Source organism: Homo sapiens, chromosome Y (genome assembly GCF_000001405.40).
Source record: "Homo sapiens chromosome Y, GRCh38.p14 Primary Assembly".
NCBI classification, from domain to species: Eukaryota; Metazoa; Chordata; class Mammalia; order Primates; family Hominidae; genus Homo; species Homo sapiens.
The window spans coordinates 17,182,340-17,197,096 of NC_000024.10; the positions used below are offsets into that span (position 1 = coordinate 17,182,340).

The 14,757-nt window shown below is 44.7% G+C and overlaps 1 pseudogene; it reads left to right on the forward strand.

The window, feature by feature from the left end:
* SURF6P1 (surfeit 6 pseudogene 1) lies at positions 2,152 to 12,432 on the forward strand (annotated as a pseudogene).

Below are 14,757 nucleotides of genomic sequence, written 5' to 3' on the forward strand. Positions count from 1 at the left end.
TCCCACAAATTGTAAGTTGATATTATCTAGCAACTACAGTATTATCTATGCAGGTAAAATTTAAATTTATCTTCACACAGTGTTTATAGTGGACTTATTAACACTTGAATTCACCTCAACAGGAGAATAAATAAACAAATGGTGGTACATTCACACAGTGTAAGATAACTCAATAATAAAAAAGAAAAAAACTGTACACAAGCAAAACCTTGAAGAATTTCCAAGCATAAAAATCTAAGAGGAAGATGTCAGATGCAAAAATCTATATACTGAAACAGCTATGTATATAAGATTCCAAAACAGACACAACTACAGGAAGAGCCTTAAATCAGGGGTTGCCAAGACTAGGAGTTAGGGGAGACTCTGACTGCAAAAGATTAGGATGAAAGTACAGAGATGTTCTTTATCTTGATTGTGGTGGTGGTCCTGTGACTATACAACTTTGTCAAAAGTTGCAGAACTTCACATACACCAAAAGTATACATTTTACAGTTGAAAATTATATCTTAAAAATCTGAAAAATGTTTATAGGAAACATTGTTTTCATTTGATGAATGACTCAAAATACAGGAATAGGTGACCTATCAGGAAAACCTGCTTTAAAATATCTCAAATATTGAAATTTCTAGATTTCTGTAGAATGTTTCATCAGAATGGCATTTACTGGCCAGACACGGTGGCTCACTCCTGTAATCCCAACATTTTGGGAGGTCGAGGCAGATCACAAAGTCAGAAGTTTGAGACCATCTTGGCCAATATGGTGAAACCCTGTCTCTACTAAACATACAAAAATTATCCGGGTCTGGTGTTGTTCACCTTAGTCCCAGATACTCAGGAGGCTGAGGCAAGAGAATCACTTAAACCCGGGAGGTGGAGGTTTCAATGAGCTGAGATTGTGCCACTGACTCCAGCCTGGGCAACTGAGCAAGACTCCATCTCATAAAACAAAACAAAATAAAAACAAACAAGCAACCCCCCCAAAAAAAACAAACACAGACACACACTAAAGAATGGCACTCCCTGAATTGTTGACATAACCATTGAGAGGGAATCAGTGATGCCTTTGTGAAAGGGGAAACAGATTAGAGGGAAGTCAAGGTGAATTTAGGAGAAGCAGTAAGCAGTATTATAAGAAAAAATAGGCCGGGTGCCATGGCTCACTCCTGTAATCCCAGCACTTTGGGAGGCCAAGGTGGGTGGATCACAAGGTCAGGAGTTTGAGAGCATCCTGGCTAACACGGTGAAACCCCATCTCTACTAAAAATACAAAAATTTAGCTGGGTGTGGTGGTGGGTGCCTGTAGTCCCAGCTCCTCGGGAGGCGGAGGTAGGAGAATGGCTTGAACCCGGGAGGCAGAGCTCGCAGTGAGCCAAGATTGTGTCACTGCACTCCAGCCTGGGCGATAGAGTGAGAATCCATCTCAAAACAAACAAACAAACAAACAAACAAAATATATATATGTAATTAGAGCCTGAAGCAATAGAGGGGACTTTTCTTGTGAGTGCTTTTCAGCCACTGAAATCAACCAAATCGTCACATACACAGTTTTTTTCCTGGATAAACATGGACATGGACGGCTCTGGCCTTGAAGCTTGAAACTTACTTTGTTTTATCTGTGTTTCTTCTTCAGAAAAGGACCACTAGGCATCTTAAAATGTATCAAAGAACTGAAAATCATGAGATCATAGCATCAAGACAAGGTCCCTCATTCATCACAATTGCTTCCTTACCCCTCCTGAGTTCCTGTTTCCTCACACACAATTGCATTTCTTCCCTGCTATATAAACCCCTGATTTTAATCAGTCAGGGAGATGGATTTGAGTCTGATTGATCTTCCATCTCATTGGCTGCAGCATCTGATTTAAAGCCTTTTCCCAGGGGCAATGCTGGTTGTCTTAGTGATTGGCTTTCCCTGTGGTGAGTAGCAAGACCTAGACCGAACTCCTTATATTTCAGTAACATCATGATTCAGCTCAAGTGTTTTCACTCCAGAAGTTACAGACTTAAAACAATATATGCTATGGAGAAAGTTATGAATGTGTATCCTATTTAGAAATTGGTGGAACCAGGCCTGACTAATCACCCTTGGGCTGGCAGCTGGATGCCAGTCTGGTGGCCCTTGCTCATGCAGTGATTTCTGGCAGAGATGGTGAGGGTCACACCCACTGCTGGACAGTGTGAGTCAGGGGCAGCCTGGACTGATGCCATGGCATTTCTGCTTGCTAAAGATGCCAGCCTGCAGAGCCTGGCCAGGAAGATCTCCTCCCAGCCAGCCCAGAGTCAGAGGTGGGTATGTGGGCTGGCAAAACTCAAGGCTCAGAAACTGTAGGGCCCCAAAAAAAGAAAAGGAAGAAAATACACATAAAATTTCCAGAAGGGAGAAGATAAGGCTGCTGAGCACAAGGCCTAGTCCCACTGTGTCCAGAATTGGTGGGTTCTTGGTCTTGCTGACTTCAAGAATGAAGCCACAGGCCCTCGTGGTGAGTGTTACAGTTCTTAAGGATAGTGTGTCTGGAGTTTGTGTCTTCAGATGTTCAGATGTGTTTGGAATTTCTTCCTTCTGGTTGGTTCATGTTCTCGTTGACTTCAGGAGTGAAGCTGCAGACCTTGGCGGTGAGTGTTACAGCTCTTAAAGGCAGCATTTCTGGAGTTGTTCATTCCTCCCATCCAGAGTTGTTTGTCCCTCCCAGTGGGTTCATGGTCTCGCTGGCTTCAGCAGTGAGTAAAGCTGCAGAAATTGGAGTGAGTGTTACAGCTCATAAAGGTGGCGCAGACCTAAAGAGTGAGCAGCAGCAAGATTTATTGTGAAGAGTGAAAGAACAAAGCTTCCACAGCGTGGAAGGGGACCTGACTGGGTTGCCACTGCTGGCTCAGGCAGCCTGCTTTTATTCCCTTATCAGACCCCACATCCTACTGATTGGCCCATTGTACAGAGAGCTGATTGGTCTGTTTTGACACGGTGCTGATTGGTGTGCTTACAATCCCTCAGCAAGACACAGAATGCTGATTTCTGTATTTACAATCCTCTAGTTAGACATTAAAGTTCTCCAAGTCCCCACTAGATTAGCTAGACACAGAGCACTGATTGTTGCTTTTACAAACCTTGAGCTAGAAACAGGGTGCTGATTGGTGCATTTACAATCCTATAGCTAGTCATAAAAGTTCTACAAGTTCCCACCTGACATAGGAGCCCAGGTGGCTTTGCCTAGTGGATCCCATGCCAGGGCTGTGGGTGGAGCTGCCTGCCAGTCCCACACCAAGCGCTTGCACTCCTCAGCCCTTGGGCAGTTGATGGGACAGGGTGCTGTGGAGCAGGGGGCGGTGCCCAGCAGGGAAGCCCAGGATGCACAGGAGCCCACTGTGGGGGGCTCAGGCATGCTGGGCTGCAAGTCCCAAGCCCTGCCCATGGGGAGGTGGCTGAGGCCTGGTGATAATTCAAGTGTGGTGCAGGTGGGCCAGCTGTGCTGGGGGACCCAGCACACCCTCCACAGCCACTGGCCTGGGTGTTAAGCCCCTCACTGCCTGGGCCAGAGGCACCAGCTGGCTGCTTCAAGTGCAGGTCCCACTGAGTCTGCACCCACCCAGAACTCGCACTGGTGCATGAGGGGTGTGCACAGCCTCGGTTCCCACCCACACCTCTCCCTCCACACCTCCCCACAGAGGGAGCCAGTTCTGGCCTTGGCCAGTCCAGAGAGGAGCTCCCACAGTGCAGCAGTGGGCTGAAACCCTCCTCAAACATGGCCAGAGTGGATGCCAAGGCCAACGAGATGCTGAGATCAAGTGAGAACTGCAAGCATGCTGTCACCTCTCAATCCCCTCTCTAAACATGACACCCCAACTGTTGTTGGTAATTTGGCGATGACCGTTCTAGCTACTTCCTGTTGGATAGGGGTGATGAAGGGGCCCTGCAGTTGTAGTGTCCTACAGAGGGGAGCTCCCTAGGCTAGTGGAAGTGCCAGTGGGTCACTCCAGGGGTCCTCGGTAGAAGTTGTTAGTTGAACTCGTTTGGGGTTCCATTTGTAAGACCATCTGCACCTTGATGGCCTCAATTCTAGAGTAAACAAATTTAACAAGGAGGTTAAAAATACACGGTCCAAAGGCAAGTAATAGCCAGATGGCTGACACGGGACCTAGAAAGGGGAGAAGCCATGTTGCTTAACTCTAGAGGTTGGTATAAGAATTTGAAAGGCATTGTCTGATTTCAGAAGTCTTTTCCTGTAAACACCAGGCAGCATCTCGCACAATCCCTGACTGGTTAGTGTAAAAACAACACTCTTCTCCTAAGAAGGTACAGAGTCCTCCTTTCTCAGCAGTGAGGATGTCTAGGCCTCAGTGGTTTTGGAGAGTCACTGCTGCCAAAGAGTCTGTTTGGGATTGTAGAGTAAGGATAGATTTAGTTATTTCTTGCAAACTGTCTGAAAAATCCTTTGAGTGTGTGGTAATAGGATAATGAAGTAGATAAACTGGCTATTCCAGTTCCTGTAGTGGCAGCCATTCCTAACCCTATAAGTAGGGGTACTAGTTTTATGGCTCTGCACTGACAGACTTGAGCTTTGAGGGGTACTGATAGGGTCTGATTTCCTGGGGCAATGTTAAAGACTAACGTGCAGATGCCGTTCCAGTTAGTGGGGAGATATAGGTCAACATTCCACATAAGAAGAATATACCTTGGCTGGGTAGGCAGAACTTTACCTTGACTTTTAAAGGAATAGGGTACATTGTTTTTTTTCTCTACTAGTTCCATCTCTCTTTCTTTCTCTTTGACTTCTTCTTTGTCTCTTCCTCTCTTTCTGACTCTCTCTTTGACTTTCTGTGTCTGTCTCTTCCTCTCTCTTTCTCTGACTTTCTCTTTCTCTTTCCTTCTTGCTGATCTTTCCCTGGCTCTGCCAGCCACTTATGCTGCTATTCTCTCCTCTCCTTCCCATTTCGATGGCTTTGGCAGTGGAAGACTGCCACCTCCTTGGACTTTTCATTAAGTGCAATAAATCCATAATTTCCTTGTTGTATTTAATGGGGGTTCCCTCAGAGGTTAGGAACTCCCTTTCTTTCCATATTGCAGTATGGCCAGGTAGGATTAGATAAGCATACTTGCTATCTGTATATGCATTTATTCTTTTTCCCTTTTCTAGTTCTAAGGCTCTGGTAAGTGCCACTAGTTCTGCTCCCTGGGAACCGGTCCCCAGGGGAAGAGGCTTACTTTCAAGTGTGGTTACCTCAATAGCTATGGCATAACCTGCCCTTCATATCCAATTGTTCAAAAATGAGCTTCCATTGACATATAGGTTAAGGTCAGGATTAGCTAAGGGGAGTTCCAATAGATCATCTTGGGCAGCATAAGTCTGGACTATAATCTGTTGGCACTCATGCTCCATTGGTTCCCTATCCTCTGGGAGAAAAGTGGCAGGGTTGACGGTCATGCACATGTGTATTTGAAACACTGGTCCCTCAAGGAATAGTGCCTGGTATCTAAGTAGGCAGTTGTCTGATAGCCATAAACTTCCTTTGGCACCTAGTGTGACATTTACATCATGAGTAGTCCAGACAGTGAGATCCTTTCCTTGTATTATCTTGATAGCCTCTGACACTAAGACAGCCACTGTCACAACTACACTTAAATAGTGAGGCCAGCCTTTTGCTACTACATTATTTTCCTTATTTAGGTATGCCACTGGTTGTGGGGTTGTCCCATGAGTCTGAGGAGAAATCCAAGAGCTATCCCTACTCTCTCTGTGATATATAAAGAGAAGTTTTGTGCTGTGGGAAAGCTTAAAGCTGGAGCTTGTACTAGGGCCTGCTTTAAGGTTTTGAAGGTTGTTTCTGCCTCTGGTTCCTATTCTACTAGATGAGTATTTGCCTTCTGAGTTTCCTTGATTAGAGTATAGAGGGGCCTGGATATCTTGCTGTTCCCTGGGATACATAATCGGCAAAAGCCAGTGATTCCAAGGAACCCCTACAACTGTTTTAATGTCTTAGGGTGACGATAAGCCAGAATGGGCTGTTTTCATTCCTTGCTGAGGGCCTTGGTCCCTCTGGCTATGATTAAGCCTAGATATTTGGCCTGCTGTAGGCAAAGCTGGGCCTTTGACCTAAACAGCTTGTACCCTTGATTAGCTAGAAAGTTCAAGAGATCTAGAGTAGCCTGCTGGCATGAGGCTTGAGAACTGGTAGCCAAAAGTAAATCATCCACATACTGAAGGACCAGAGTGGCTGGATTTGAGAAGTGGCCTAGATCTTGGGCCAGTGCCTGACCAAACAGGTGAAGCCTATCCCTAAACCCTTGGGGCAAGACTGTCCACGTAATTTGGGACATGTGGTCTGTGGGATCCTCAAAGGCAAAGAGAAATTGGGAGTCAGAGTGCAGGGGAATAAAGAAGAAGTTATTCTTGAGGTCCAGAACCATGAACCATTCTGATTCCTCTGGTATTTGAGAGAGCAGGGTATAGGTGTTGGGTGCAACTGGATATAGAGAAATTACTGCCTCAGTGATGAGTCTAAGATCTTGTCCTAGTCTCCCCTGACTGTTCAATTTTTCTACTCATAGAATTGGGGTGTTGCAGGTATTGCTGCATTTCCTTACTCAGGCTTGAGCTTTTAAATGTTTAACAATATCCTGTAATCCTTTATGAGCTTCAAGCCTTAAGGAATATTGTCTTTGATAAGGAAAAGTGGTGGGGTCTTTGAGCTTGACTTGGAGTGGGTGGGCATTTTTTGCCCTTCCAAATTGTCCTTCCAATGCCCAGACTTCAGGGTCGATTCCCTCCTCAAGTAGGAGACAAAATATGGGTAACTTGTTCCCCATATTCATGTAGATAATAGCTCCAGCCTTGGCATATATATATCCCTCCCTAATAAGGGTGTGGGACTTTCAAGCATAACAAGAAAAACATGTGAAAAGAGTAAAGTCTCCCTATTACAACTGAGGAGATGGGAGAAATACCTGGTTACAGGCTGTCCCAGGAGCCCTCAGATGGTAATGGACCTTGAGGACAGTCATCCAGGACAGGAGATTAACACTGAGAAAGCCATGCCAGTGTCCAGCAGGAAGTCAATTTCCTGGCCCTCAATGGTTAAACATACCTGGGGCTCACTGAGGGTGATGACATGAGCTGGTGCTTGCCCCAGGCACCCTCATTCCTGTTGTTGGATCATCTGGTTGGGGGCTTCTGACCCAGAGAACCTTTATCCTCTGGGGCAGTGCACCTTCCAGTGATTGCCTTGGCATACTGGACATGGACATGGGGGCAGCTTGTTTCTCAATGGACAATCTTTTTTAAAGTGCCCTTGCAAATCACACTGGTAACAAGCCCTACTAGGTGATTGGCCTGCTCCATTTTCTGTCCTCTCTGAACCACCAAGGTGTGTTTGTCTGAGGACCATGACTAAGGCTGCGGCCTTTCTCTGATCTTGCTTTTCCTTTTGGTCCTGTTCTTCTTGGTCCCTATTATAGAACGCTGAGGTTGCCAGGTATAATAATGCCTCCAAATTTTGTTCAGGGCCCAGGGCTTCCTTTTGGAGCTTTCTCTTGATATCTGCAGCTGATTGGGTAATAAATTTATCTTTTAGAATCAATTGACCCTCACTGAAGTGATTCGGGTGACAGGGAAGTATATTTTCTTAAGGTCTCCCATAGCCATTCGAGGAAGGCAGAAGGATTTTCTTCCTTTCCATGAGCTATGGTGGACATCATTGAATAATTCATGGGCTTTTTCGTAGTTCTCTTTAGTCCTTCTAGAACACAGGTGAACAGATATTTACTACTCCAGTCCCTATGATCTGAGTCAAGGTCCCAGTGGGGATACATACTGGGGGTAGCTTGCTGACTACTAGGGAATTTGTCCCTTTCTTCAGCTGGCATTCTATCTTTTACTTGACTAAGATACCATGTATCTCCAAACTCTCAGGCTGCAGCTAAAGCTTCATTCTTTTCATTAAAGGCCAGGGTTTGATCTAACAGTAGCATGACATCTCTCCAAGCGAGGCCAAAGGTTTGTCCTAGACCCTTTAGGACATATATGTACTTATCAGCATCATCTGAAAACTTCCCTAGGTCTGCCTTGATCTGTTTTAAATCATAGAGGGAGAAAGAGACATGTATACAGCTTTGGTCAAATTCTCTTCCTCCAACAGCTTGAAGGAGACATAACTGATAGCCTGGGCAGGGGGCGTTGTGGTCCCTTGGAGATTTCTTTGCTTATTTCCTTCTGGGTGGGGGAGATTAGAGGAGGCTGATCATTAATAGGAAGGGGAGCTATAGGGAGGCTAGGATATGGGGGTAAGCTGAGAGGTCCTCTAGTGGGATGTAAGTTGCAAACTTTGCATAATTTTGTATTCTCCTTCAATGAAAATAAAGCTTGCATATAAGGTATTTCACTCCAGTTGCCTTCCCTCTTACAGAAAAGGTCATGCTGCAGGATAGTATTGTAATTTGTACTTCCCTCAGGTGGCCATTTTTCCCCATCACAGAGAGAATATTGGGGCCAGGCCATAGTGCAGAAAAAAATGAGCCACCTGTTTTTCAGGGTTTGTGGGTCAAATTTGTCTCAATGGCTTAGGATGCATTTCAAGGGTGAGCCTGTTGATGACTGAGTGTTTCCAAACTGAAAGACAAAACTACCCATGGTTTCAATTTGTTTTGTTTCTCCCCCTGCCCAAGAACCCACAACGATCCCTGGACTCTGCTTATCAGAATAGTTAAGCTCACTGATGCAGCAGCAGAAACACTAGTTTTCCTCCCAGAACACAAGGAGGACCAAGGGAGGTCAGACTTAGTGGCCCTTACCGACACATTCTTGAAAACCTGCAACCTTGCCTGTCCTCCTAGACCCAAAGAGGACAAAGAAAAATTGGATTTAGTGGCCCTTACCAATGCATTCTCAAAAACCTGTTAGCGTCTTAAGCATTCTCCTGTTAGGATCCCTAAGGGAGGGAAGGGATGTCCAGGGTTGGAAGAGTGACACTTTTGTGTTCACTTATACGAATAGGAAGGATAGAATTTCTAAGGCTCCCCCTATCCTGGCTTCAAGAATAGCTTTTGTTAGGCCTGTTAGTCTGAGGAGGGATCCTAACATTCCAGATAGTCCCCCATGATAGGGCTTTGGGCAAAGATTATGTCTTTCTGATCAGTGAGCCAGGGTGCCTAAAGAAATAACAGAGTCCTGTAGTTTATACTAGAAGTCATTCTTATAGGAGAAACTAGAAAATCACCAGAGACAGGGAGTGATTTTTAGAAGTAGGATTAGCCTCAGAGAAGAGAGGCAAGATGAAGTTTGTCTGGCAAACTTCATTAGGACCCAGGAGGCAAGGGTCAGGATAGATTGGATAGATGTGTGAGTCTCACTTGGGTGACATGCCTTTCAGAGATCTGCTCATGGCTGCAGGGTTAACTAACTTGTTGTCGGGACCCCAGAGCTGAATGGCTTTCCTCTCTGTTGATCCTGGGCTCAGCCTAGAAGTACAGGAAAAGTGGAAGCTGATTCCAGGCAAACCAATGCTCCCAACTCCAAAGAGTCAGGGTTTGTTAGAGAGCCTTTTCCAAGAAAGCGTGACACCCACTTCTTTAGTCTGGTGGCCACACTAGTTGCTTTTAACTGGCTGACAGGTGCCCGGTATTTAGCCCCAAAATTCTAAGGAAAAATAGGACAGAATAGCAAGAGAAAGGGGTCTGACGATACTCACTGCTTGGTGATAGGTGATAGTCTCACCACTTGGTGATAGGTGATGGTCTCACTACTTGGCAATAGTCTCACCGCTTGGTGATAGTCTCTTTGTGGTTGCCAAAATGTGTCTAGAATTGGTGAGTTCTTGGTCTCACTTACTTAAAGAATGAAGACACGGACACTTGCAGTGAGTGTTACAGTTCTTAAAGATGGTGTGTCCAGAGTTTTTGCCTTCAGATATTCAGATGTGTCCAGAGTTTCTTCCTTTTGTTGGGTTCCTGGTCTCCCTGACTTCAGGAGTGAAGCTGCAGACCTTGGCGGTGTTACAGCTCTTAAAGACAGCGTGTCTGGAGTTGTTCATTCCTCCCAACCAGGCTCAAGCATGGTGGGCTGCAGGACCCAAGCCCTGCCCTACAGGGCAGCGGCTGAGGCCCAGAGAGAATTTGACCACTGGGAGGGCAGGCCGGCGGTGCTGGGAGATGGGTGTACCCTCTGCAGCTGCTAGCCTGGGTGCTAAGACCCTCACTGCCTGAGCAGAGGCACCGGCCAGCCCTTCCGAGTGTGGCATGCCAAGATGGCCCACCCAGAACTCTGGCTGGCCCAGGACAGCCTCCTGCAGCCTCAGTTCCCACCCACGCATCTCCATCCACACCTCCCTGCAGAGGGAGCCAGCTCCAGCCTCAGCCAGTCCAGAGAGGGGCTCCCACAGTGCAGCAGCAGGATCAAGGGCTCCTCAAGTGTGGCCAGAGTGGACCCAAGGCAGAGAAGGTGCCCAAAGCAAGCAAGGGCTGCCAGCACACTGTCACCTCTCACCAAGTCTCCAGCAGCCATCTTGGGCCAGGAAGCCTGAGGCAGACAAAAAGGAGGCAGATTCAGCATCCAGCTGCACAGGGATCCCTACAGATGTCCTGGCCACAGACCTTGAGTCTCTCTTTGGCCTGGATGTTCTGCGACTGCAACTTCATGAGAAGATCCAGGAGGCCTGGGGCCAGGGCAGTGCCAAGGAGCTGTCCCCTGCTGCCCTGGAGTAAAGGCGGTGGAGAAAGAGGGAACGGGACTGGCAAAAGAAGAAGCGAGAGGAGCTGTGGGCAAAATAGAAGACCAAGAAGGCTGAGGAGGTTACAAAGGCCCTGTAGGCAGTCAAGCCAACCCCTGAAGGGGCCTGCAGGAAGCTGCAGGAGCCTCCAGGACTGATCTTCAACAAGGTGTAGGTGAGCAAAGAGGAGTCAGCCAGCAAGTAGCAGTGCAGAAAGAAGAAGCAGAGTGTGAAGGGAAAGGAAACTTACACCACTGACAGGGAGGAACTACCTGCAGCTGCTGAAGCATCTGGATGAGCTGAGTGGCCAGGGTGAGGGGAAGGCACAGCAGCTGTAGGCCAAGATGAAGTGGACCAATCTCCTGTACAAGACAGAGGATGTGATGATCCACCACGATGATTGCCTGCTGCAGGAGGCCCTGAAGCCCAAGGAGAATCACAGCGCCCAGCAGCACAGCGAGTGGGAGAAGCGCAACTCAGGCGTGGTAGAGAAGATGCATCAGTGCCAAGACCTGCTGGCAGCAGAACCTGCACAAGAAGAAGGTGGCCCACATCCAGCACCGAATGCTCAGAGCCCACAAGAACTGTATCCTGCTGCAGGACCTGGAGCTTGCAGGCCTAGCAGGAGGGCCTGGCCTGGCCCAGCCTGGGCCTTTCCCATGTTGGGCTGCCATCTTCCATCTTGTGAGGCTCCAGGGGACCCTCTCAATCCTTGATGCTGGCTATTCCCAGGATCTCCACGGACCTCGGTCACTCCCTGTGAAGGGGACCCAGTCGTTCTCTGCTGAGTAGTGAGGTCTCAGATCACGCATATGAAAGAGAATATTTCAGCATCATCCTTGAAAATGCAGCCTGGGTCCATCAGACCCAGGGAAAGGATGAGCCAGACTGCTGGGCTTGAAAGCTTCCCGGAGGTCTGCAGAGTCAGGAAGGAGGAACAACGGTCACTGCCCCTTCTCCTCCTGCCTGTGTTCTCAGGGGCCACAGGACTGAAGAGGGTGGCCTTTGTTGCCAGGCCACGTTAGTCCACAGCTCGCCAGAAAGGAGGACAACCCTGAGGTGTGGTGAGTGGGCATGTCCAGGCATGGTGCCTACTGGGGCAGAATGCCTGGCTCCTCCCCCATCTCTTGACTTTGGCCTATGGAGGTCTCATTCCTTTCTGTTCCTCAATGACCAGAGGCGTTTCACCTCAGAATTCAGAGGGAGCAAGGGAACTGTACCTTCCCAGGGTCAACACCTGTGAATTGGGCCACGTGCATTGGACCAAGGGAAAAGAGAAAGAAAGAATAAAACCTAGAGAGAGAGTGAAGCAAATGGAAGATAAAAAGTGAGATGGAAGATTATATCCAAAGCTTCAGGCAATTAAAATGAATGCAGGTTGACTAAACTCAGGTGAATTGTAGTGATATATGGATGATAAAGCTGTAAATAAAATTCCGTTGATGAAACTTTCTGGTTAGGAGACAAAGATTGTAACCGAAAGGGAGCTGGTCTGTTATTAGAGTAGACTGAGATGAAAAGGCACTGTGAAAGTTCAAATGTCCTATGGTTATCAGCTTGATCTAAGGGACAGACACAACAGTATATGAAAAGAGTACATAGTCTTTTCAAGCATATATGGAAAATTGATGGAAATTGACCACTTACTTTGTCCAGAAAAGAAGTCTTAAGATATTTCAAGGTATCAGTGAAGTTATCTGACCATATCCCAACCTAGTTAAAAATTTTTGAGCTAATTATCAAAATTTCTTATTTGGAATTTTTAAAACACACTTACAAATTACCTATGAGTTGAAGAATTCCTAATGGGTGTTAGAAATATTTGAGACTAAAAGATAATGGAAATGCAAGAAAAAAAAGAAATTGGAGGAAGATGGATTTAAACAACTCTTACTAAGTTGAAAATTTACTTCTTTCCTTTTGTATTTTATATTGCTATATCATAATTGTACATAATTTGGGGTGCATATGGTAATTTGATACAGGTACACAATGTGCAGTACTGATCAAATCAGGGTGATTAGGACATCCATTACCTTAAACCTTTGCTTTTAATATTTGTGTTGGGAACATTGCAATTCTTCTAGATATGTTGAAGTACATTTTATTGTTAACTTTAATTTTTTTACTGTACTATAAAATACTAAAACATAATTATATCTTCTAACCATATTTTTGTACTCATTAACCACCTTCTCTTCATTCTCTCAACCCCCCCACCCTTCCCAGCCTTTGGTAACCATCATTCTACTCTCTCTAGCTCCATGAAATGAAATTCCATTTGTTTTTGTTTGTTTGTTTGTTTTTTGAGACAGAGTCATGCTCTGTTGCCAAGCTGTACTGCAGTGGCGCGATCTTGGCTCACCACAACCTCTGCCTCCTGGCTTCAAGTGATTTCCTTGCCTCAGCCTCCTGAGTAGCTGGGACTACAGGCACGTGCTACCATGTCTGGCTAAGTTTTTTTTGTATTTTAATAGAGATGGGGTTTCACCATGTTAGCCAGGATGGACTCAATTTACTGACCTCATGATCTGCCCAGCTAGACGTTCCAAAGTGCTGGGATTACAGGCATGAGCCACCGTGGCCAGCTGAAATCCACTTGTAAGCTCCACATGTAGTGAGAGCATGCAATGTCTGTCTTTCTCTTCATGGCTAATTTCAGCTAATGCTCTCTTATTCCATGTATGTTGCTGCAAAAGACAAGATTTCATTATTTTTTTTATGGCTGACTAGTCTTCCATTTTGAATATATACCACATTTTCTTTATTCGTTTGTCCGTTGAGGGCCATTTAGGCAGATTCCATATTTTGGCTATTGTGAATAGTGCTGATTAACATGAATGTGTAGATGTCCTTCAATATACTTATTTCCTTTCTTCATGACATATTCAGTAGTTGAATTGCTGGATCAAATGGCAGCTTTATTTTTAGTTTTTTTGGGAAACTCTAAGTGTAGAGGTTTTCCATACTGAGAAAATTTATAAACTGAAAGGAAATATACATGGGTATTTCTATCAAAAGTCTTCCTCAAGTGTAACTTCCATGAAACATTTATTAATTAGCAAACTGGATCAAAAGGCAGACTTCATGTATAGGTTGATATTAGTGCATCGAAAGAGAAGGGTTAAATTGACAATTCAAAAGCTTTGGAGAATTAATGAATATTTTTTATGAATTGTTGCATAAGAAATTGTACCAAAGTTAAGTAAGAAGAAAGGTTTATTGGTATCTTGTGATTCTAGTGGTTAAGACCAATAATACAAAATATTAGATACTCTAAACACCTGACAAAATAGCAATTGGATAGAAGACAGGTATTCAGCATGTTATCATCACCTTTTTTCTTTTTTGTCTGTATCCTTTCCATGCATTAAGGCAAAAAGTCCATCAACATATCCCTAACCACACTCTAAAAAAAAAAAATCATTAATCACAATGCAATAAAATTATATATTTTCAACATAAGACAAAAAATTAAAAACATAAACCCTCTGTATTAGGAATTTAATAACATTCTTCCAAATAAATGTTTAGGCTGATAATTAAATAAAAACTTTTATTAGAACTTTAATCAATTAGAAACAGTCATTAAAGGCAAATCCATATAGAAACCTTTAAGGAATGGCTGAAGTAGTATACTGAGTAAAAGTTGCATAATAGAAACATTTATTATGCATCAAGAAAATAAAAATCCAATGAATTATGCATTGAACTTGGGAAAGTAGAAATAACTAAAGCCAAAAGGAAGCCAAATAAAATAAAAAGGTGGACTAATAAAAACATAAAAAGAAAAGGAGAACATAGCTATTAAAATATTTGGCAAAAGAATTTAATTTGTCCCTCAAAGCAACACCAATTAGTCCTGCTAGAATTGCATTTTCATTCTGCCATAATACCTTGATCTGCCTGAATTGCAGTGAAAATATTCTTCTTGTTGATGTAGAATGGAAATCAGATCACATTTAGGCTACATCAAAAGGAGAAGAAAGGTTTATTATTATACAACTGATACAAAATACTCAATTCTCCAAAGCTTTTGAATTCTCAGTTTCACCCTTCTCCTTT